This window comes from Homo sapiens, chromosome 1 (assembly GCF_000001405.40).
Source record: "Homo sapiens chromosome 1, GRCh38.p14 Primary Assembly".
Taxonomy (NCBI): Eukaryota; Metazoa; Chordata; class Mammalia; order Primates; family Hominidae; genus Homo; species Homo sapiens.
In genome coordinates this window covers 86,557,817-86,583,145 of record NC_000001.11, presented here as the reverse complement: position 1 = coordinate 86,583,145, position 25,329 = coordinate 86,557,817, and the positions used below count along the sequence as shown (strand labels likewise).

At 36.8% G+C, this 25,329-nt stretch overlaps 1 protein-coding gene and 1 long non-coding RNA gene across 4 annotated transcripts in view; one reads left to right on the top strand and one right to left on the bottom strand.

Annotated features, from left to right (window-relative positions):
- CLCA4-AS1 (CLCA4 antisense RNA 1) overlaps nt 1-11,965 on the top strand; it is a 133,313-nt gene extending 121,348 nt beyond the window's left edge. Inside the window, exon 5 of the long non-coding RNA NR_135837.1 lies at nt 11,738-11,965. This is a non-coding gene — a long non-coding RNA (CLCA4 antisense RNA 1). The remainder of the gene's footprint in view (nt 1-11,737) is intronic.
- Nucleotides 2,392-25,329, bottom strand: part of CLCA4 (chloride channel accessory 4) — a 33,677-nt gene continuing 10,739 nt past the window's right edge. For 2 of the 3 annotated variants that reach the window (NM_012128.4, XM_011541015.3), the window contains exons 2-14: nt 23,074-23,214; nt 22,788-22,935; nt 19,377-19,485; nt 17,695-17,872; nt 17,126-17,344; nt 15,495-15,722; nt 11,892-12,069; nt 10,426-10,532; nt 8,391-8,606; nt 7,547-7,814; nt 5,074-5,244; nt 3,559-3,792; nt 2,392-3,204 (exon numbers count right to left, since the gene is read on the bottom strand). In NM_012128.4, coding sequence (NP_036260.2) covers nt 2,801-3,204; nt 3,559-3,792; nt 5,074-5,244; nt 7,547-7,814; nt 8,391-8,606; nt 10,426-10,532; nt 11,892-12,069; nt 15,495-15,722; nt 17,126-17,344; nt 17,695-17,872; nt 19,377-19,485; nt 22,788-22,935; nt 23,074-23,214 — 2,601 coding nt within the window. In that variant the 3' untranslated portion in view covers nt 2,392-2,800. The remainder of the gene's footprint in view (nt 3,205-3,558; nt 3,793-5,073; nt 5,245-7,546; nt 7,815-8,390; nt 8,607-10,425; nt 10,533-11,891; nt 12,070-15,494; nt 15,723-17,125; nt 17,345-17,694; nt 17,873-19,376; nt 19,486-22,787; nt 22,936-23,073; nt 23,215-25,329) is intronic. The other variant, NR_024602.2, reaches the window with a different exon arrangement.

Sequence of the window (25,329 nt, the reverse complement as noted above, 5' to 3'; positions counted from 1 at the left end):
ACACTAAAATGGAAACATCTATCATTTTTCTGTGTTATGTTAATTAAGGTACATCATTCACCCAGCTGACATCCAATGTGAGAAAGAACTACATAAGGCTACAAATAATTGGAATTGTGGATCTTTGGAAACATTTTTGGGGATTAGCTACCATACTTTTCTGTTTGGCTGCAATAGGCCTGGATCACTTCAGTGTTGCTTTGAGTTGAACTCCTTTTAGTCCTATTTTATGCTGGTGTGAATGTTCATCAGGCACTGTGGTTTGGGTCCCCACACTTACACATGCTGTACTGGGGCACTCTGGCCTGTGACAGCAGCCATCTCAGTGGCATGAATAGAAGCATGGAAAGGTAGTTCTCTCAGTCCTAGCTGAGCAGCTGTGACTATGAATGCATACCATCTCTCTGTGCTAGAGCTTGGGCAGACCTAGCTTGTGACACTGTAGACTTCCCACCCCAAGGAGTAACACTGACTTGGATAGCTAGTGATACAGGTTTTTTTCTATTCAGGAACCCTGTAGACATGCGAGTCTCTGAGGTCCGTAGAGGGTTAGTCCTCTCCCATACAGGGCTGCCTCTCTTCCTTAATGGAATATCTTAGGTGTATTTTCTGTTGCCAGATTCCCTGCAAGAGGCAATGAGCCTAAACTTACCTTCCTAAATGTGGTAGTTTTTTCATGATTAACTAAATCAACTACTAGACCATGAATGCTGCTAGGTGGTTGTAATGGACAACCCACACAGAGACTTCATACTGTAGGTACAATCGCTAGTTTATCCTGGACTACAGCCAGGGCTGGTTTTGTGGACATACCATCTGTGCAGTTGCTTGGAGCTCTGCTTAGAAGGGCCCTGAACTTGGTTTAATGTTTAGCTGTTGGTGTCTTGAAATTCTTACTAATTTTAAAGCAAAGGCCTCTTATTTTCATTTTTCAGTGAGCAGCATAAATTATGTAGCCTGTATTGACTACAACAATGGTAATGATTTAGTTATCTTTCTGATTCTTAAGAATTCACAAATAACTACTTGATGCAGACCTGGGAATAGAATGAAATCAGAGCTTGACCTGGGAGGAGAGAGCCCACTACTGGGACCCACCTGAGCCTAGATATTGCACTAGAACCTCAGAGAGGGAAGTAACCAGGCTGGGAGGCTTTGCCTCCAGAGTAATGGGGTGAATGGGTGGAAAGGACATAAAGAAAATCTGACTGATATATGATATTTCTGGTGCCAACATAGAATTTCAGGCCTTCATTCCCCTCTTGGTAAAGGCCAGGTGCTCTACAATTAATGTTTTTCCTGCATTTTCTCTTGTACATCCCTAGCCATTAGCAACTGGCCAAACAGGTACCAGTCTGCTAGAGGAGCTAATAGTGCCAATAGACCCATTGCCTCAACAGCTTAGTCTCCAAATGCCCTAGTGCGCAGCTCATTTTCCTCTGCACATTTTCTTCTGCATGCTTTGAGAGGAAGTCAAATCTTCCTAGAGTCAGGAGTCTCCCACTTACTTCCTCTTCCTTTGCTCCTTTACTACTTCCAACTTAAACTACAAGGCCTTTTTTGTCAGCCCTGCTAATCACACCAAATTCTTTATGCCAGGTCAAGATCTATGTTTGAAGATTGTTAAAAGTGACCCCTGGACTCAGCTTATATGGCTTTCATTTTCATTTACTTCCAAAGAGCAAAGAATTCCTGACAATGCTACCTGAGATAAGAATGCAAATGAGTGGATGCTGTTCTTCAGGTCCTCTCTAGTTCCTCAGGATGCTGAGTTATAGTAATAAAAATTCCTGTGAAACATGAGAAAACCACCCATTGGAAGTACAAGGAAACCGTATGCTTGTAAACTTGGACTCAAAGTCTACCTACTCCTATGAGGGGAAGTTCCTTCTGCACCATCTTACACCATTGTAACATGCTCTGTGTTCCATTTTGTTTACATCATTAGGGCCTCTGGCTGACCTGGCTATGGTCTGCCATATAAAACTACTCCTTTCAACCCACATTTTCTCCTTAAGTGATCTCATTAGTCAATACGGTTGTGACCCTGAGAGATGAATGAAAATATTGTTTTAAAAATATTTAGCTTTCTTTATCTGAAAACAAGGGCAATAGATAGTAGTTTCAGTAATTCTTTCCTATGATAAAACAAAAAGTATGCAGATAGGTATGGCTTTTTAAATGAAAAGAGATAGATATATGTTTATATCAAAATAAAATCAGGAAAAATTATAGTTTGACAGGTGGTAATTGATTTAGATTTTTTTTCTAGTTTTCTCCATATCCATGAACTGTAGTAAACATAACCTTGGCAATTGTAGGGTACAGTTGGAGGCTTTGGATGAATATGAGATCATCAATTTATACTTAATAATACCAACACCAAATTCATTTTTTTCCAAATGTTGTTTATTTGCTCTCCTTTACTTGTATTTTGACTACTCAGATAGATGATTTTAATTTCTTGATGCAATTTGAAATATCATTTCAGAAAACTGTTGCATCAAATAATATACAACCAGGTATCAGTATGAAAAAGGATCTTTGTTCATCACTATTTCTTACAAATAAAATAACAAATAAATGAAACTATTAAATTTTAATCTTGACAGTTTTTACATATCCATGAGTGTTTTTATTTAATCAAAGTATCCTTTTCCGACATCTTAAAATTATTTTTATGAGTTTATGATCACACATGGGATGAATTTTAAGATTCAGAAATATCCTTTACTTACATTGTTTTGTTTTTTAAAACTCTCTTCTAGGTCTACTTGAAGATTTTTTTCTTCGTTAAGGTTCAAATGGTGGTACTTAAAATAAAGTTAACAATTACAACAGACCCAATCACAGACAATACCAGCGTAGAAATATTAACTCCAGAATTATGACTTTTATCAGGAGTAGGAGTAGGAGTAGGAGTAGGTGTAGGATCAATGTCATCAGGATTTGCTTGAGGGATAAACAAAGTTACTTGTGCAATGTTGGATACTTTTGATGTCAAATTGCTTTTATCTATACTTTTAATGGCAATAAATATGTGGGTTGCATTTTCTTCTGAGATATTTTCTGGTTTAAATGCAAAGCTTTCCTTGGAGTTGGCCTCCTTTGGTGACAGATCAGTAGTATTTACTTGAAGAGCATCATCAAAACTGTCTCTTAGATCAAGAATACTTGCACTTATTCTTATGATATAACGTTGAACTGAGAAAAAAAAGTTACATGTAGTTTAGAGACTGCAGCATAGCATATTCATTCCTTTTTATTTATTCTCAAAAATGTCTAGTTATGCAAAGCAGATAGATCAAAAGCCTTACTCATTTTTTAATAAAAGCTGAATTCTGGTCTTAAGCTCTGCAAATTGCTACCTTCTTTGTATGAAAAGTAGGACCACGTTAAAATGTGTCATTTGATTGATTAAAAAATATCAGATTATAAAATTAACACTTTGCTAGGCTGTCAATATAAAACCATTCTCCCCCCACCCACCCTTACACCCCTGTTTTTGCAATTAGCACCTTTTACTTAAGTCAAAATCACATGACACTTCATCCTTACCTTTTCCAACATCAAAATTATCTCCTGGTGCTGTCCATGTAAGAATAATCTTATCCTCATGAACTGTGGCATCAAGGTCTGTGATTTGACTTGGTGGGTATTGGTCAGGCAAGGGAAGGCTTGGGACTTGTGATACCACAAATGCACCTCCGGATGCTGTTCGGCTGAAATCCTCCAAGGTGGTCTGAGTATCCTCATCAATTTCAGGTCTTGGCGGGTTTGCTTCAATTTCCCCTGCATTAAACATTTCCTGGTTTATAATGGGCAAAACTACTGGTATTTATTATAATTCAGTGAATCACCTTCTTCACTTGTCTTTTCCTTCTAAAAAAATATATACAGTCACATTTTTACTAAGTTTTGTGACAATCATAAGCGCCCAACTGGTGAGAGAATTCTTTCTTTGGTAGGATATTGTAGGACAGAATCAGAAAACAAATTGCTTTAGAATTAAGCCTACACTGGGTGACAGAAATATTATATAATTCAATGTGTGCCTTTTTAAAAAAGGAATTGCTTTACCTCTTGAATTATCTGCACTCTGGGAATATACCTGGGGAAATCATTGCCAGTTCTCCTCCACCCACTTGTGCTAGGTCCCTCCCTCCATGCTGCAAGTGCTAAGGAATAATTCTTCTGATTGTATTCCAATTGCTAGTAGAAAGCCCCTAAAAGTCACAAGGGACCAGATGAAAGAAAGCTAGCAAAGAATGCATTCTTAATTCTTACATCACTTTACTGCACACACTGTTTTTCTTTTTGACTTATTAAAATTCTAAATAAGTGTTTACTCTACAGCATATGTAATCTGAAAGATAAATTCTGCACAGGCTTGTGCTTAGGTTCATAAATTGGTCTGTTTCCTTCATCTTGAGCTGAAAGCTGGGCATATTATTGTTGATATACATAAGATGTTCAAACTAACATAATAATAACTGATGTTTTTGAGTGAGATCATGTCTTTTGCAGGAACATGGATGGAGCTGGAGGCCATTATCCTCAGCAAACTAATGCAGGAACAGAAAACCAAAATACTGCGTGTTCTCACTTATAAGTGGGAGCTAAATGATGAGAATTCATGGACACAAAGAGGGTAACAATAGGCACTAGGGCCTACTTGAGGGTGGAGTTTGGGAGGAGGGAGAGGGTCAGAAAAAATAACTATTGGGTACTAGGTTTAGTACCTGCATAATGAAATAATCTGTACAACAAACCGCCATGACACGAGTTTACCTATATAACAAACCTGCACATGTACCCTCAAACCTAAACTGAAAGTTAAAAAAAATAAGAATAATTGACCTTTTTTGAGTGCTTGAGTGCTTACTAGGTGCCAGACATTGTACCAAAGCTTAGATTAATTTAGAGGCAAATCCTAGTATGACTGAGAACTTTATTCCATAAATGGGAAAAGCTATATTTTGAGTTTTAATCAACCTGTTTGAAGCCTAATTATATCAAATCACTAATATTGTTCAAACTATCACTGGATTATAAATATCATGAGTTACTCACCGTTCACTACCCAGCCTGGTATGTACGCGGCTCTATTCAGTGGAGGCCGTAATTTTAGCCTGGCAGTGTTTGCTCCTCCATGAGCCCGAACTTTTAAGCTATATCTGCCATTTTCTGTATATGCTGTAAAATACCTGGAGTAGACTCCATCATTCTTGAAAGAATCAGCGCCTTGTTATAGAAATGAAGGAATAAAGTCTTGTAAAGAGAAATTTTGCATTTTCTAAGACAAGCAATTGGCCTCTACAAGCATATCCTCTAGATTAGGCTTAATATTTTTAGATTGACCCTTTGGAGAATATTTCCATTATATTCTGCCAAAACAATATATTGTAGAATTGACACCCTTGAGCTATTTCGATATCTATTATTTCTATATAACATACATACACACACACTGATATTTATGTATGCATAATAAATGCCTAAATACTTCACCTTTCTGTCCTTATTAATTCATATACAGAATATTACATATAGTACTCTTACAATTTCTCCACCACTGGGTTGCTTTCAGCTTGCTTTCTCTAAACACACTATGTCATCTCTCTGTTTAAATCAAAAGGGTCCCTACTAAGGAAAAATCCTTTCTTTGTGTAGGATTTAATTCTCACAACAGTCAACTAAAATTACTAAATCTGGAGATTTTTAGAGGTACACATTTCCCAGACTTCCTAGGGAAAGGTCCCAGCATTCTGTGTTCTTACAAACCCTCGAGATGATTCCTTTGCATACTAAAGTTTGTCTGCAGACTAAAGACATTTGCAGACTAAAGAATGTCTGCTCTATGTCATTGTTAATCACTAATACCATCTCAGGTAAAGGCATTCCAAATTAGCAAATTTCCCCAATTACCTAAATGGTCATCTAGCAAAATGTTGAGAAGGGAAACATGGTGCATATAAGTTTTAATGTAGTAGAGATTTGCAGAAAGGGAAAAAAGAGGCAAGGGATAGTTGTGGAAATATTGATATATCTGAAGAAGGCATTGAGGTACACAAAAGAACAATTTCACCTTCTCAGTTTTTCTCAGGGGCAACTCTAGTTGAAGATATGATTATAAAATGATTGAATAAGTTACATTGCAAAATATACTGATAGAAAATTTTGTTAATTCGGGTGCCTATCAATATAGTTATTTCCTTGCTCATTAACCTCTTAACAGAAGCTTCCGTTCCTAGAACAATCCAGAATCTAGGGAAAGGGTCTTTAGGCATCACCCATCTGTGCAGACCAGGGAGACAGATAATGGCCAACGTTGCATCTTGATTCCTACCAGCCAGACCTGGTATCTGATGCCCCAGTGATGAATCTTCCTCTTTTGTGGCAGTGCTAGCTGCCTCTGGGCCCCAGTTCTCAGGACTATATTTATACTTTGTTCCAGCTGTCGAGGATTACTCCTGCTTTCTTTTCCTGCCAGAGACCCAAGCTCTATCACTTAATCACATTTAGTTTGCTTGTGCTTCACCCTCTCTCTAGCCAGGCTTTCTTGATGCTGTCCTCAGCCTCCTGAATGAGACCTTTCTAATTGGTGACAGACATTGGTTGCCTGGATGATAAACAACAATGATGACAAAAAATTACATGTATGGCCAGGCATGGTGGCTCACTCCTGTAATTCCAGCACTTTGGGAGGCTGGGGTGGGAGGGTGGCTTAAGCCTAGGAGTTTGAGACCGGCTGGGGCAATATAGTGAGACCTTTTCTCTTTTGTTGACCTTTTCTCTACAAAAAAAATTTAAAGATTAGCTGAGCATGGTGGCACACACCTGTATCCCAGCTACTTGGGATGCTGAGATAGGAGGACTGCTTGAGCCTGGGAGGCAGAGGCATCAGTGAGCTGAAATGGTGCTACTGAACTCCATCCAGCCTGTGCGACAGAGTGAGACCTCATCTCAAAAAAACAAAAAAAACAAACAAAAAAATTCAACAACCAAAAACGTTTTTATTTTTATTTATTTATTGGGTATTTTTGTTGTCGTTGAGACGGAGTCTTTCTCTGTTGCCCAGGCTGGAATGTGGTGTTATGATCTTGGCTCACTGCAACCTCCACCTCCCAGGTTCAAGTGATCCTCTGTCCTCATCCTCCCAAGTGGCTGGGATTACAAGTGTGTGCCACCACACCTGGCTAATTTTTTGTACTTTTAGTAGAAAAGGGGTTTCACCATGTTTGCCAGGCTGGTCTTGAACTCCTGACCTCAAGTGATCTGCCCACCTTGGCCTCCCGAAGTGCTAGGATTACATAAGTGAGCCACAGCGCCCAGCCCAAAAACATTGATTGAGTGCTTACCACATGCAAGACATTTGCTAAGCACTCTGTAGGTTTTACCTAGATAAAATTTCCTGCTGTTCCTGCTGTTCCTCCTTAATCTGCATCAATTCTGTTGCCTGTCTTACTGCTCCACAATGCCACAGGGACTCACAACATGCTGAATTAGGAAAATATTGGCTTATTCATAAAAACCTGTGAATTACCTGCACCATTATCCAAAAGTTCCAAAACTTCTGTATGTCCATTCTGTGATTCAATGAAAGCAGTCACATTGGCTCCAAGAACAGGTACATATCCTTGTAGAATTTCTGCGTAAACAATCATTGGGCTGGGGAAACTGTTTACGTCCTTATTCATTTTAGCATTCACTGTGATTGGAGGCACAGAAGAATTTGCTGCTCGAGAAGTTACTGTAATAGTTAATGTTTCTGGGTTCGCTTTGGCTTGAAGATTGTATGCCCAAGTGCCCACCTAAAAGTTTCAACAGAAATATAGTAAGTATCCAAAGTCAAGCTACTTTCTATATTTCCATTATGTAATTCTAAAATAAATTATATAATGGGGAGAGAATAAAGAGGTTTTAAGGATGTTGAGGATAAATGGGTAAGGGCTGAGGCAGTTCAGACAGGGCATGCCAAGTAGTACCATTCATGATGTGTACACTTCGCTACATCTCAATTGGAAAAAATAAGTTTTAGAAGGTTTGCCTTGGTTTTGGCCTTAGAGTCCACAGATTCATCAATCCTGGTAGGGTGAATAAGGAAGGACCCTGTAGCTCTCTACCCACCAATTTGCATAGACTCTTCCTACATTTCCTTCTTAAAGTTCTTCTCAGACAGTCTTGACTACGTTTTCTTCCTTCTTCTTGATATATAAGTTCTTTTTTCCTACCATCATAGTTTTAAGGACACAGGCATGGAAAGTACATACTATTTTATCTTAATTTTAAAGTTGATACAGCCTTTGGTACTGACATTTATGACATTAAACAATTTATGTTCAGTTTTTTAAAAATGTTGACAGGAAGTCTAAAAGCTGATTGCTTACCTTTGCAGTTCCTGGAATACTGAGATAGGCCATTTTGGAAGTTGCATCCACTGTGAAATTTTCCATTATTGTTCCACTGGGATCCCAGAGAGAAATACTGGGAGGCAGACTGTTCCATGTGATGAGAAAGAACGTGTCCTTTCCCACTGTACTATCAATTATGACAGTGTCGTTCATCCAGGCATTACTATTCAGTGTTAATCCCTTACTTTCGAGCTGTTTAAATAGATTTCAAAATTAATGACTGCAGAAGACAGTAATTTTATTCTTTTTTCAAGATGGTTTTTAATTTCTGGCCTGAGAACAAGCTTATAAATGGCAGACCACCTTAGACTTGTGATCTCTCTGCAAGCTGGTGATGATATGACAGTTATCAATTAAAAAGTGAGGAAGTAAGAGACTTAGAGCAGAAACATGTAGAGCAGAAACAAGGGTTTTACAGTCATGAATATGACCTTACTGTTTTTTTCCCGGTTGTCTTGGCAAGCATTCATGGATGTTTTCCTGATGTGGAAATTTGAAATAATTTTTTCACACAGATAGAGGGAGTAGCACTGGACAGTAAATATATTCAACAAGAGGGCAAACTGATACATAAAGGTTGGGATCCTGAGAAGAGAGGAAATGTAGAAGCTTTCTTTGAGAAGAGCTTTAAAGAAAGTATTTCAACTTTTTGTTGATAGCTGTTAGTCCAGAAGAGCCAACCATTTTTGTTTAGTTACTCATTTTTTAAAGTGACAAAGAAATATGCACATATTGTGGAATGGCTAAATCAAGTAGATTAACATAGGCATTACCTCACATACTTATTTTTGTGGTGAGAATGCATAAAATCCACTTAGTGATTTTCAAATATACAATACATTGTTGTTAACTACAGTTGCTATATTGTATAGCGGGTTTCTTGGTGTTCCTACCATCCATTTAAAATAAACAGAACACAAAATAGTATCTTCAGAATCAGTTCTCTCTCCTTACTTCTCACTATAATCATCATGTTCTCAGTCAACGATGATGGCAACCTCAGAAATGACCTTTATTATCCTTCAGCTTATTCTCCAAACACTAGCAGTCTATATCTCACACTAATTTTTAACTTGTTTGCAGGTTATATCTGCAGACAAGATGTCCAAACAAATCTGTACATACTCTAAGCTCACATCCCATAACTTCTGTTCTTTTCATTGTTGAGAAGTAGAGGAAAATAGATTTGTTTAGGGATCATGGCAAGTTTTAATATAGGCAGTGAGCTGATGAGCTGGAAAACACCAGACAGAAATCTTGGCATAAAGTGACATGACATAGACATGTAGGAATGAAAAGAAGAGAAATATTTTTGTAAAATATATTTTGAGAGAAACTGGCTATGTTCACATGGGACATGAAGAAAGAAGAATCAAAGTTTACTCAAAGTTTTTGAATCTAAGTAACAGAAAATGGTGGTGCTATCAAGACCCAGATGAGCAAAAGTGTTAAGTTCGGAAGACAGGTGAATAAAAAAAAAGCCACCGAAAAAAGTGGTTGAAGAGGTGACAGAAGCCCTATGTTTGTAGATAGACAATGATTATTCACCCCGTCTTTCTCCTGCTTAATTTATTTCCAAGATACACTCCTTCCATTTCCCAGCCAGGTTCTTGAGTTCATGTTTCTAAATCTATATCATAGAAGTTAAGCATGGGGAAAGCTTGGAAGCATGAGCTTTTAAAATGCATTCATTGAAAAATGGGTGCTTTATTTTGGAAAAGGTCCATTTTTGGTGAAAAATTTGACATTATAACATTGTAATGTCATTTCTTAACCAAACCCATGGCAATAGGAAAAGAAACAGTATGTCTGCTGTTTCACCATTTATTTTACTCTTATTTCACCAATTAATTTGGCTATAGCTAAGGGTAATTTCTATTTAAGATTAAAGTTTAGATTTTAATTAAAAATTTACTTTGAGAAAAATATGGAACTCAAAACTTATAACCACCAAATGGTTTTTTCTTGTGGCAAAAGTGAACATGAAAACCCAAGGAATGAGAACTCTGACCTGAAGGGACTTCTGGGAGAGATCAGTATTTCCTGATGTAAGAGCCCCAAAAGCATCAATGAGGCCATTGTTCTGAGCTTCATCTGAAACATAAAAATGACTTCCTCCTAAAATGTAAATGCATTAATTAGACTGCTTTCTAGAAAATAAGTACATATATTTTAGTGATTATTAAGCTAATAGTTAAAACAAAATCATAGTTTCAGTATGTGTTATTAAAATAGACCAAAAGCACATAGTTGTACAGGTTAATTCTGAAATGCTCATTTTAAAATGTCATAACTAGGGAATGAAAGCTACCATAATACCTCATTATCAAAATCTTAGCTAGCTAAAATGCATGATAATTATAGAATATGAAAGATGTTACAATTCCATGTATTAAAGCTCACAAACTTTACACAGCCCTTTTAGAGAAACTTTTATTTCTAACAAAATTGACTTTCAGATATTTCAGCCAGTGTAGATTTGTGAAATCTTTTGTTAAAAGATTGTTAATCTTTTATTTTAGTTCTAACAAAGTTGACTTTCAGATATTTCAGCCAGCATAGACCAAAATCAGAAAATTAGAAAGATGAAAGAGCTGCTATATTTAGGTATTCTCACAATAACTGGCAATGAGCAGATAGAAAATTGGAAAGCAAGAGAGATAAATCCAAAAAAGTACTACTTTTAAGGAGCTACTTGGAATAGAAATAAATTTTACAATGGCCATGAAAGGACTTTGAAATGATGTGATTTTGTATAACTAAGCATTAAAAAGCAAGCATATATTTAGTACCATTAGAAGCCAATTCAACATAATTTATACTCATGTCATAAATTATATATTCTCTACTATGTTTAAGAAGGTATTGGAAACACGTAATCCATTTTCATCACATCTGTGTGTCTGAAATAACAGCTACCATAGTTAATGTTTATATAAAAACTTCATTGTTATTTAGATCTTTTCAGTCTGAGCTTCTGTTAATCACATACACCCACCCCACAACTTATGCTCTGGTCTCATGGGGTTTTCACCATTCCCTCCATGCGCCTTGCATTGTCACCCCAACGTGATGTTTTTTGCTCATGACTTGATCATCTTTTCTTACCCCCTTTTTCTTCCCAGAGAAATTCACCACCTGTTCAAAGCCCAGCTCAGAATTCAGCTAGTTTTGCATGCTTCCTTTCCCTGGCTCTATACAACTCTAGTAAAACTAATGGCTTCCTCTGCTCACATAGAACTTTATTTTTCTATATTCCTCCTGTTATGTAGGAATGCTATCTGATTATGTTATTTCATCAACAGTTTTATTTGTCTCTCCAGCCAACTGGACTCCAAGTGCCACGAGAACAGAGATTGGGTCTGGTCCCCAGCTTCAGTGCCTCCAAGGCAGAAACTCAAGAGACGTTGTTGAACTGTCAGCCTTTACATTTATGCATTACTATTGAAGGCCTGGAATAAATGGATCGTGTTTTACCTGTTATCTTGCTCATCTCTATTACTGCTTCATCAGCAGCTCTTCCCAAAGCAATAAAATGAACAATGGCCCCACTTTGTTTCACTTCATCAATACAAGAACTTGCAGTGTTATCCTCCCCATCAGTCAGCAGCAGTACTTCGGATCCATCGAGTTGGGAATGTAGCTCTCCAATCACCTGCAAACATAATGCAGAGCACAGTTACCAACAGATGTTCCTAGATCAAATAGACAAATGGGAAATGAGAAAAAATTTACAGAGAAAATAAACAAAGTTATGCAGAATAGAAGAGATAACCTCTATTTTAAAATAAAGAATTTTCAATCAACAATCCTTGGGGAAAGTTAAACATGAATTTTTTTAACTCCCAGCTGCAGGTAGTATTTATTTAAAGGAATTCGGTGGGACCAGGCTTTGGAAAATCCTGTCTAGACTAAATGACAATAACATCTCAACCTGGGAAACTCAGGTCAACCAGATACCAAAGGTATAATCACAGTATGTGACATTAATTAGTGTTATGTTTTCTTTGACTGGACTACCTTCTGACAGACAAGCCTTCAGTTTATAAAGTCTCTTGCATTTAAAGCTAGATGCATTAAGAATCCACTTCAACATTTGAAAAAGTCAGTGATTACAAATTAGTAAACCCTCAGTATGCTTATAAAGAAAAAATATGGAAAGTTCTAAGCATGTGGTTAGGGACTTTGTTATGCAACTTTCATTTACTTCTAATAATAACTGGCACAGAAGTAAGCATATTGGTGATGCTTAAAGAATATATTAAAATTATACTTATTAAGTTCAATTTGTAGCTTGTATCCTTTTCCTAAATGCCAAACAGTTTGAAACTCAAAGTTTTGAAACTAGGTGCCTGTAAAAGAGTATAGAGAGAAGTTAGCCCAGGATGACAACATATTTCATTTTCTTTGACAGTTTTAATTGGTGGTGGCATCTTGGAGCACCATTTTGAGACCTTGATTCCAGGCCAAGAGGTGAAAAATGACAGATTGTCAGTGACTTTCTTTGGCATGGAGTGAAGGTGTGTGTGTAGATTTGCAGAAGAGGGTTTGGAATGTAGAAATCCCTAAGAAAGCTGGTATCAGGGAACAAATTGACCACGCTTATTACAATTTTTGCATGTTTTGAAGCAAAGAGTGACTAATATATATATTGCAATATATGGGAAATATTCTCTGACATGCCTTGAAACCGAACGGAAAGAGAGGAAAATGCTTTTATACATTTATGGCATTTGTAGCATCTCCATCACACTTCTCCCACGCATTTAAGTACAAAATGAAGATCCAAAGATGAAGCAGAGTTCTCTCTTTCACCTCTCCTTTTCTTGCATGAGTTTATTTACCAAGCATTTACAATGTGCCAGTCACCGTGCTGGGGATTCAGTAGGAACTACATTCCTACATTCATATATTAATAAATAATTGGGTTCAATTTTACAATGTTTATGGAGCTTTGTGTCAGAGACTGAGGAGATCTAGAGATGAACAAGGAAGACAAAACTAATATGTATTTACTACAGAATATTCTATAGTTCAAGAGAAATAACAGTGTAGTGTTACAGTTTACTGAACATTCGCTATGTATTAACTGTGTTTTATACATTGTATAATTTAATCCATCTCCAAGCTCCCAAAATGTCTTCCTATTACCACTTTTACTGCCTACAATTTATTTTATTCAGGGCAATTGGAATCATCTTCCTGGAACATAAATTGATTATCAAACTCCGATACTTTCAACCCTTCAAGAGCTTTTTGTTGTGCTTGAAACAAAATACAAGCCTCATATTTTTTGAAGTTTTTTAAGATCTAGTCATTGTCTACCTCTCCAACCACATTTCATATCCCCTCATTTGCCAAACTCCACTGCTACTAGCTTCTATAATTTCTTAGAATAATCTAGTTTTTTCTCACCTTTTTCCTTAAGGAACTTTTGCATTTCTTTTCTATCTGAACCACTGGCTTCTTCTCATCCTTCAAATCAGAGCTTAAATGTTACTTTTTAGAGAAGGCTCATTGGCCTCTCTACCCAAAGTAGTTCTCCTTTCCCTGTTTCGTTTATTCACAACACTATCTACATAATCTGCAATTCTTGTATTTATCTATTTATTATCTGTTCCCCACTTATATACATGTACCATAAGAGTGAAAAAGCTTTGCTTGGTGAATAGATTAAAGCATGTTCATATTTTGAATAAATTAAAACATGAGCAACCCTATGTGCTAGCTTTAATTATCCTATTTTACTGATGAGGTAATTGAGGACTAGAGAGGATAAGAATCATGTTTAGGGTCACAAACCTGATAAGTGACAATCGCAATGTGAATGCAGGACTTCATGTTACAAACCTAAACTAAAATGTCATGCAATCCATGGAAGAGATAGATGCAATTGGGTTGGGAGTAAATGGGAAGCTACATGAAGGAGAAAGGATTTTGAAGGGTTGGTAGAATTTTAACATGCAGAGTTGGGAGAAAAGGAAGCATTTTAAGTAGAGGAACTTGCATGTGCAAAGGTTTGGAGGCTGTTAGTACACAGTGGACTTGGAGAACAATGTGTGTAGTAAGTTGTTTGGAGGACAGAGCATCAAGAGGGGAGAATGGAGTAAATAAGGCAGGAAAGATAAGTGAGGACAATTTTACTGAGCGGGGGAGACTTTTTAGTAATATCAGACTGAGAAATTGAGACAATTTTGTAGACTGTGAAGAGACAGTAAAGATTTCTAAACAGTAAAATGACATAATTTATATTAATTGTGGGCTCAAGATGACCATTTGGCTAAAAATAATGTTCATAATAATTATACATATATTTACTAATTATTATAAATATACACTTATAATAAATTATTATATAATTAGTATATATAGTATATGAAGTAGATATTTACTATATAATATAGTAAATATTGTTCTAAGTATGTAAATGTATCATTTCATGTAATCCTCATAATTACTCTATGAGGTAGGCATTCCTATTTCCTATATTGTATAGGTAAGTCACTAAGAGTCCAAAGAGACTGAAAGGTTAGCCTAAGATTACCTGGTTAGTAAGTAGCACATACAGTACTCTGATGTCAAAGTTCATGCTCTAACTCGTATGGCTTACCCTAAATATGACTCACAGTCTTGCTACATCTGCTTTAAGAGGTATAATAAATAGTTTGCCCTAGCTGAATGTTACAGAAACTCAAATGAGAACTAGCTTGAAGTAGAATCATACTATATCACCTGTGTCATTTCCCCAAATGTTAATGGCTTTTGCATCCAAGCACACTTATTTAACTAACATTTATCGAGCACTGACTACTGCGTGGTAACAAGACAGCAAAGTCCATGACTTCCTTGGGCTTGTAAGTGAGTGGTAAATTGATAGTCATTTATTCACCCATGGGTTGTTCATTGATTCACTGATCCATTAAAACATCAAGAGAACTTTTTTCTATATGCTTAGTCCTGTGCCTCTTAGGATTAGTTATGTTAAAATTAGGCAGCAAGCAAGCATGTGCAGTACCACTTAACATGAAAATGTCCTGAAAAGAAACAAAAACCAAAATATATTTGCAGTACGATTTTCACCTGAAATGCATATTTAATTCCAGAGCAGATGGAAGTTCCTCCCAGAGGATATGTAGGTAATCCTGCCATGAGTGTGTTTCTTTCATCACTGCTTTTTATTTGGATTAGCTTATTTACAATAGTGGCAGTACTATCAAAGTGAACCATCCCCACCCAGGATCCATTTTCAACAGTCTGCAGCAGGAAATGTTTTGCTGCTTGATTCATTCGATTTAGGCGGTCCTTACCCTAGATTAAAAAGACAAGAAAAACAAACAAGTGATTTTGACTGGAAAATAATAGAAGATCACATAAAATGAATGGACAGAATTTATTGGTAACATTTTCTATGAATGGTAATTGATGTTGTTAAAGGAAGCAATTATCAAATTTTTAATTGATAACATTAAAAAAATGGTGGTGTGTATTATGGGACACGTATAGTAAGGAGTGCAGGTTTTTATTTACAATTGATTCTTGACCACTGAGTATCCAAGTAAGAGGTGGAAGGTAGGGTGGGGATTGCATTGAAATTGGGGTGAGGAGACACATCTTAGAGACTGTCTAATTACTCTTGGGAGCTCCTGTGCTTGTTGTCTTCAGATAAAACCATACCCCCAAGCCTATAAATCAAACCAGACTGTTGCAGACTCCAACCAGAGACTGGAATCACTCCATCCACTGGAAACTAGACTGCCCAAAAGGTAATACTTACCCAAGCTTCATTTTAAGTTTGGAGAGGCCAAGGCCCTATCTTCCCACTTTCTCCTTCTGTTCCTAACCTCTCACTGCCCCCTTTCCACTAATGGGTTAATTGAATTGGCTCTTTGGTAACCCTCAGGACCCAGCCCTCTTTCGGAGGGGATTGTCTAAGGTGTAAGCTTTTTCATGCATTTGTCTTCTCCAGTCCTTATCACCCTACTGATCTGTGTTACTCCCCGCCAATTTATGCCCAAATTTCCTTCTGAACTCCCTGAACCAAATCACAATGAGAAACTTCTACATCTTCATTTTACATGCTGTCTCCACTATCTGCATTGTTGTGGCTCAATTCCTTCAGTTCTATCATTCTCTGCCCTTTTTAATACCTCCCTCATTTGCTGAAGACCTTATTCCTGTTCTTCAGCATGCTTCACTATGCCTTAAATGTGCCATCCTTCTGGTTTCTTATCACATTGCACCCACTTGTTTGCTGTGCATTCATTTCAACAATTATTTATTGATTACTCCTATGTGATTAACTTTATTCTAGGAAATGGGGATAAAGATGAATAAGACATGATTCCAAGTCCTAGAGGATCTCCTAGGCTAGTGGAAGAGAAATGTGTAACATAAATATAATATACAGTAACAGAGGTATGCGCAGGACATTGTTGGGAAACAGTAGAAGGGCTTTAACCAGCCTAGAAGCCCAGTCCATTTTCTGGAGGAATCCAAGGAGGAAGTGACCCTTGGATTAGGTATTTTTAATTATACTGGCATCTTTCTTTTACTATGGTATTTTGCTGCAGTATCTTGAAGTCATGATCATGGGCAGTGATGGTACTTTATGCCACCATGCAATTTAGAACAATCTAGGTGCAGACAGAGTTCAGTGTGTTCTCGGATCTTCAAATATCCTACATCCCTATATCCAGAAAAAGTGATCTTACCCCCATGCTTCCAGACTTATCAAGAACTAAGCACACAATTCTTTGACTGATCTTCAGCAATGAGAAGACAGGTGGAGGAGGTGGTGTCACCATGGGTATGGTGTTTTTAAAATCCTCAGAATTGCTAATCACCTCCCATGTACTTCTAAAATTGCACTTTATGTTTTGTAGGCTTGGAGCTTCTTGATTATGGGTTTTTTCGTTACAAAATTCAACAACCTAAAAGGTTAATAAAATAAAAAATAATTTTAATATACCATGCATTTAAAAATCAAACTACAAACCTGAAAAATTTAAAAGTCTTCTGCAGATATGTTGTTTGTTGAATGAAATATCATTTACTGAGCATCAATATTACAATAAGGTAGATTTACCATAATAAGAATTATGGTAACGTAATAATAGATAACACTAGATAGCACTAGTTCAGCAAATACTATGTGTTAGCCAGTGTTCAAAGAACTCTATATCAATATATATAATCCTCAGGTCACCTGAACAGATACTTTAAAAACATGACAATATGTCATTTGATTATAAATTCTGGAAGCAATTATCAGCATACTTACAGAATCAATACTTTGCATAAACATTATGGATGCTTTTTCTGTTTGTACTTTATCAGGAAAGAATTGACAATCTTTTCCATACAGTTTTGTTGTAGAATCAATTCTGCATGCTCTACTAAGACAGCTGCCTCCTTGACACTTATAAACTCTATTTCTACCAGAGATACCTGCGGAACACCTGAAAATATATGACAGTTAATCTTTGAGGCAACTGAATCATTAGCACTTACAGAAATCTTAAGTGGTTCTATTCATGATGAACTTTATATCAAGATGTTTATTCTTCTATGGTACCATGTACTTCCTATCCTGGCTATAGGGTTTAAGGGTTCCAATCAAAATAATTATCTATTTTTTAAGAAATTCTAGAGGGAAATTTTAAGTGGGGCCTCCAGATAAACACAATGGTTGAGTTCTCTCCTCTAATGAGTTCTCTCCTTGTATTAAAGCTTAGACATCTCTCCTGCTGGACTTTTGGTGGTAAATATGCTATAGGGACCTGGATAAGAGAATTTTTGAGACAATTTACTCTGAGTACCACTTTAGCTTGAAGTTCTTTGTAGATTTCCTTCCAAAGAAGATATTCCCAAAAAATAGTACATGGGATAGACACAAATGTTCTTATTACTCAAAGAGCATTTTTATCCAAAGGGAAATGTGATTGGAAGCGAAGATGAGGTGCTGCCAAGAATCCCATGGTAGAATAAAAAATGATGGAGACATTTTAGACCTATGTTTTATGGAATGTAATTGACCACAGGTGGCAGTGATTACAACAAATATGCTGAGATGTGAACATATTTTGTCTTTTCAATAGGCTTTCAGTTCAAATTCAGGAAATGATGAATAGTTTCTATTCAGCTATTTAGAGAGTCTTATAAATATGTCGATGCTTCTATTGCTTCCAAACTAGGTGGACATGATGAAACTATCTATGTGGAAAATCATGCTGAATATTCTGCAGCAGCAGTTGTACATCTAAGGGGAATATGACATAAACAAATGCAATAAATGTAATACTCTCTAAAAGATGTGCCTGAAAATTGGTGCAATGGGGCAGAGGAAGGACCTTGATTGAAATCATATACCTTTCAGTTCTCACATTAGTGTCAAGTCCCACGCCCCAGCAGGACATCTACATTGATGAGGTGATAGCACCAATTTTAATTTTAAATTGATTCTTCCCAACTATTTTGCTCTTTTGATCACAGAATCAAAAGGAGAGTTTATTATTAACTGTGATGCTAGACGGCATTATAAAATAACCTTTATAAATCTCCAAGAAGTTCCTGCTTGGCTCCTTGAAGCTGCTTGATTTCTTACTCAGTCCACATTTAGCACTACTTAACCATGTTTGTGCATTCTTGTGTAATGTAAATAACTTTGATCTTATCCCAGCATATTGTATATCCATTTACATGCCCAACTCCAAGCAAGTGAGTTCTGGAGGCTATGGTAGAGAGGTATAAAATATGTTAAATTGTCAACTGAATGCTTGCCATTGAAATTATGTATGTTTTAAATAGCAATCAACTACTTAAAGATACACTTTCTAAAAAAAAATAAAAGCATTGTTTTGTGACATATTGTCTGCATTAAGAATGATTTTGGAAGAAATCAAAGTAGGAAAATAAGAATGGATAAAAGCCTGAAGTCAGTTTAGAAAATTTAAATAGCCATGCCTTGTTGCTTCGATTTTTTTTGACTTAGCACGGTAGAAAGGCTGATCTTCATTGTACTCATCAAACACTCCCCACCGGAGGTGAGCCCACTCATGGACAAACAGTTTGCCTGTGGGAAAGCATTTCAAATACATGATCATAATCCAAGTGACACGTTTTGTATCATATTTTAAGAAGCTTCTCTTTCAATTATAAAATATATTTAGATTTCGGTTTTCAACAACTATCAACATTTATATTTCAGTGTATAAAAAAGCCTATTGCATTAAATTACATTATATTATGCTATATTATGTAATATATTATCTTCTTATTCCACGACATGTTAAATCAATGAAACAATAAGGGAGGATATGCTATGGGCTGAGTGGACTGGGATTTGTGTTTTGGTTCTTGGTGGTAAAAAGTCTTAGTACAATGGTTTATGGTTCTCCAAATTATAACCATGGGGATGTTAAAATGAAGGAATTCATTTATGGTATTTAAGACACATAGGCATTAATTATATGAAACAATTTTTAATTATATATATATATTCAATGCAATACTAGGTATTAAAAAATATAAAGATGTGTGAGATTTAGTCCTTCACTTGGGAAAGTTTTGAGAGAGGGAGTTCAAATAAAAAATTTTTTTAATAAGAATTTCACAATAAATGGAGGAATAAAAGTAAATCCACAGCTTGAGATGCTGAAAGAAGGAAAGTAGAACTTTCATTTTAGCAATGTTGGGAAAAACTTCAGAGGAAACAGATGGAGAAGGAAAGATTGGAAATAAAGTCTCTTCTGCTACAATGTGTGTTTCTGTAGCTCAAACGACCTCATATGAATCTGAAAATGGGAGGAAAATACACCACAGTATGAAGAAGTCATGTTTCTTTTCTTTTTCTTTCTTCTTCTTTTTTTTTTTTTTTTTTAAGATGGAGTCTCGCACTGTCGCCTGGGCTGGAGTGCAATGGCGCGATCTCAGCTCACTGCAACCTCTGCATCCTGGGTTCAAGTGATTCTCTTGCCTCAGCCTCCCGAGTAGCTGAGATTACAGGCACCTGCCACTATGCTCGGCTAATTTTTTGTATTTTTCGTAGAGATGGGGTTTCACCACGTTGGCCAGGCTGGTGTCGAACTCCTGACCTCGTGATCTGCCCGCCTCAGCGTCCCAAAGTGCTGAGATTACAGGCATCAGCCACCTTGCCCAGCCGTCATGTTTCTTTTTTAAGTCTTTGCTATTCAAACTGTGGTTCTGGACAACATCCATCAGCATCACCTGGGAGCTAGTTACAAATGCAGAATCTTCAGGCCACCCTTTGCTTACAGAATCAGAAGCTGCATATTAACAAGGTCCCTAAGTTACTCTTCTACATAATGCACTTTAAAAACACTGGTTTCAGGTTTCCTAGGCAAATGGAACCAGGTTTGTGGGAGCAGAATTAGAACGTTCAGTAGAAAAGGAAAAAGCCCTCATATCAGCTACTGCAGTAGGAATTTGGTGCGTGTTAAGAAAAATTTAAGAGTCTACTCAGACTTGATTCGTTCTCAGGTTTCCCTGCCTCCCATGCCCACCTTAAAAGCAGCCCTTTTGACTTAGAATTCCATTCCTGTCTACATCATTGTCTCATTTCCAGCTATCTCTGTTCCTATTTCTAGTAACATTTCTCTCTCCCCTTCCTTGCACCATGTGTGTGTGTGTCGTGTGTGTGTGTACTTTTAATATGTGCTATGGCAGCCTCTGGCCATACTGCATTGCTTGCCTAGGTGATCTAAATGATCTATTGTGATTGTTGGTGGTGTTATCATGATTATTACAAAATTGCATAAGATTCTTACTAATGTTATTTATCCAAAAACCTTACTGTTTTTTAGGACCTTGAGGAATGTGAGTTTTTTACACAAATGCATATATCACATTATGCATTTGTGAAAAGGAAGAAAGATCTGTCTAAGAAGAAGGGGTGACCTATCAGTAATAGAATAGGGTTGAGGTGTGGGATACGGGAAAAATCAATAACTGATATGGGGACATTAAGCTTACAAATTGGAGAAGCCTTTCTGTTCTAAGAAAGGTGCAGGTAGAGAAGGTGTAGGTGGTAATAAGTTTGGAAATAGAGAGGAAGAATGTAGAGACCTCTGTTTTATCAATCAGGACATTAATTGATGGGATTGAGAAGAGTGCCTGGAGATCTTGAGAAAATTGGTAGACATTTTAGAACAGCTGCTATAGGAATTGAGAAAGAGAGTTGAGAAGAGCTGAGTAAAAATATTGTTGAGTAGCTTTGAGTGCTTCACTGAGCTTGGAAAGTGTGTTGTTATAATCATGTCACTTAGTTTTATAATTTTCTTCACCATTCTTCAAAACATAACAGGAGCCAAGAATAAAGAAGACGGAAAATTCAGAAGATTTAGTAAATTGAATGAAACATAAGGATAAGAGTGGTGAGAGAATTGAGCTATTTATACTTGTAGTTGAAATGACTGACTTTGGTGGACATGCCAGGTGAAAAGAAAGTATAACTAAAAGGGCACAAAGGATTAGAGGTGCCAAGGAAAACAAACGTGGTCAGGATAATTACAGGGAAGAGGTAAGATTGGGACATGAGGAGATGATGGAACTTTCAAGACTGGAGAGGGGAACTGGTCCAGGTAATGAATAGGACCAGATCTAGCTGAATGTTTGGCAGAGACAAGAGACTTAACGAGTGTTCAATGAACAGGAATAGAAGAGGGTGATTCTGGGGTATGCGGATTCAGCAAGGTTCCCATTTAATAGTGATACATGTGTAGAGCCCTCCTTTAACAATGATTTGCATTTTTGTCTGTAAAGTGCACTTTTGTTGTTTTGACAAATTATTTTAGCATTTAGATTGAACTAGATGACATTGCCATTTTTATAGGTCAAAATGATCAATTACTGACAATGTCATCTGTTTCAATGAAATAGATTGATATTATCAGCAACTGATAGCCTAGGAGTGTTTTCTCTTGACCAGTAACTGGCAACATGACTCTTTCCAGCTTACTATACATCTGGCTTTCTTGTAGCTTACTGGTGATTTGTTAATATCCAGCTATGGAGAAGTGGAAAAATTAAAATTTAAAAAGCATGCCTTAAGAAAAACATTTATTATTGCTTTTCTCTGTTTATATTTTTGTAGACACTGTACTGAGTATATTTGTCTGGATTCTCTAGTTTAATGTAGAACAAATATTTTACAAGGTAGAAACTCCTCTCTTTGCCATTTTGTAGGGAATAACCACAGAGACAGTAGGTCACTTGTTTAAGGTCACATACAGCTAGTAAGTAGGGGAGCCAGGATTTGATTCTAGGGACTTTGGCCCCATGGCCTGCACACTTAACCTGCATAAAAAGTTGTATGCTGCAATCACTGCAAAATTATTTTTTAACCAAAATTTCTACCTGGTGGTCCATATTCATTTTGTTTTTTTCCAAGTAGAAGGTCAGGGGTGAAGTGAATGTATTCGCCTTTCTCTCCACATTCTGTGAACTGCTTGGTGTATGGTTCATCTCTACCTGGGAGTGTAGGTGGTGCAACTATAACATCAGCCTGAGAATGTTGAAAAAGATTGTCAAACATCAAAAATAAAAAAGATAATATTCAGTTAGAAAGACTCTTAAATAATTTGTGGCAAAAATGGTTAATATCAGAAAATATAATTTTTTAAGAGAATATTTCGACACTTACATGTTTATGGTTTTCATGTTTTGGCCTTTTGTACTGAGGATTTTCCTTCCAATTCTCAGGAATTAATATAGATACATTTTTGAAAAAAAATCTTTTTTCTGTGGCTTCAAACAGGTACGTAGAAGCTGTAGTCACCATATCCTGTCATTAAAGGAAAAAATATGTGAGGATGGTGAAGTTAGAGTGAACTAAATTAGCAGGGTTTTGTGACAGGCATTTCCCAACTTAAGAGTGGACAGAAAAGCAACAGACTGATGAGTAGGGTCTCTGTCTCATTATTCTAACTCTGCCACCTGTCAACCCCAAACCATCACTTATTCCTGCACGTTGAAAGCCTCCTCAGTCTTCTATAATCCTGCCTTAAAAGGCAAATGCTTGTATTTGGCATTAAGAGGAATTGATTAATAGGAATATGTACATGGACTTTGGAGTCATTTACGTGATTCTAATACTAATGTTAGTATCTTCTGGATGACAGATCTTGGTTGATTTATGCAATGCTCCGAATCTCAGTTTCCTCATCCTTCAATGGACTATTACTATCTATCAGTATGGTTGGCATAGAGATGGAATCAGATATAAAGTCCTCTACAAACAGGCAATCTTAAAACTGTTTGATATCATTACTATTTATAAGAAATCTTCGTAGAAAACAGGCTTAGTTGATGCAAACTGAGGAGGACACTCTATAGAAATGGGTCATTGAAGAGGTTTCTCATCCCAACCTTAGGAGAAGCAGCTAGGTTGGGAGACTGTGTGGGTGGGAGGTGTGATGAAAAAAAACCCATAGTAGAGACAAAACTTTGATTACAGAACTGTTGCTCTACCACCTATATGAAAATAATATCACCTTATATTCAGAACTATAAACTCACATACAAGGACAAATAAGAAAAATAGTTCCTCCCAGAAGAAAGCAAACTACTTGGAAAACATATTTCAGCATATCATCTATGAAAACTTCCCCAAACCTGCTAGGAGGCCAACAGTCAAATTTAGGAAATACAGAGAACTCCTGCAAGACTTTACACAAGAAGATCATCCCCAAGACACAATCATCAGATTTTCCAAGGTTGAAATGAAAAAAAAAAAAAGAGTGTTAAAGGCAGCTAGAGAGGAAAGGGCAGATCACCTACAAAGGGAACCCCATCAGGCTAACAGTGGACCTCTCAGCTGAAACCTTACAAGCCAGAAGAGATTGGAAGCTGATATGGTTTCACTGTGTCCCCATCCAAATCTTATCTTGAATTGTAGTTCCCATAATCCCCACGTGTTGTGGAAGGGACCAGGTGGAGATAATTGAATCATGGGGGTGGTCTTCCCCATCCTGTTCTCATGATGTAAGTTCTCATGTGATCTGATGGTTTCATAAGGGGCTTCCCCCTTAGCTCGGCTCTCATACTTCTCCTTCCTGCTGCCATGTGAAGAAGGACATGTTTGCTTCCTCTTCTGCCATGATTGTAAGTTTCCTGAGGCCTCCCTGCCATGCTGAACTGTGAGTTAATGAAATCTTTTCCTTTATAAATTATCCAGTCTCAGGTATGTCTTTATTAACAGCATAAGAGTGGACTAATACTGGGGCCTTTATTCAGCATTCTTAAATACAATAATCTTCAACCAAGTATTTCATATCCAGCCAAACTAAGTTTCCTTGTCAAAGGAAATTCATTACCACCAGACCTGCCTGACAAGAGATCTTGAAAGAAGCACTAAATATAGAAAGACTGTTACCAGCTAATACAAAAACAGACTTAGACACACAGACCAGTGTCACTATAAAGCCAGACACACAGACCAGTGTCACTCAAACAAGTCAACATAATATCTAGCCAACAAAACAATGACAAGATCAAATCCACACATGTCTATATTAACTTTCAATGTAAATGGGCCAAATGCCCCACTTAAAAGGCACAGAGTGGCAAGCTGAATAAAAAAGCAAGACCCAATGGTATGTTATCTTCAAGAGAATCATCTTATAAAGGCATAATGACACCCATAGGCTCAAAATAAAAAGATGGAGAAAACCTACCAAGCAAATGCAAAGCAGAAAAAAGCAGGGGTTGTAATCCTAATTTCAGACAAAACAGACTTCAAACCAACAAAGATAAAAAAAAAAAGACAAAGAAGGGCATTACGTAATGGTAAAGGCTTCATTTTAACAAGAAGCTCTAACTATTCTAAATATATATATGCCCAACAAAGGAGCACCCAAATTCATAAAGCAAGTTCTTAGAGACGTAAAAAGAGACATAG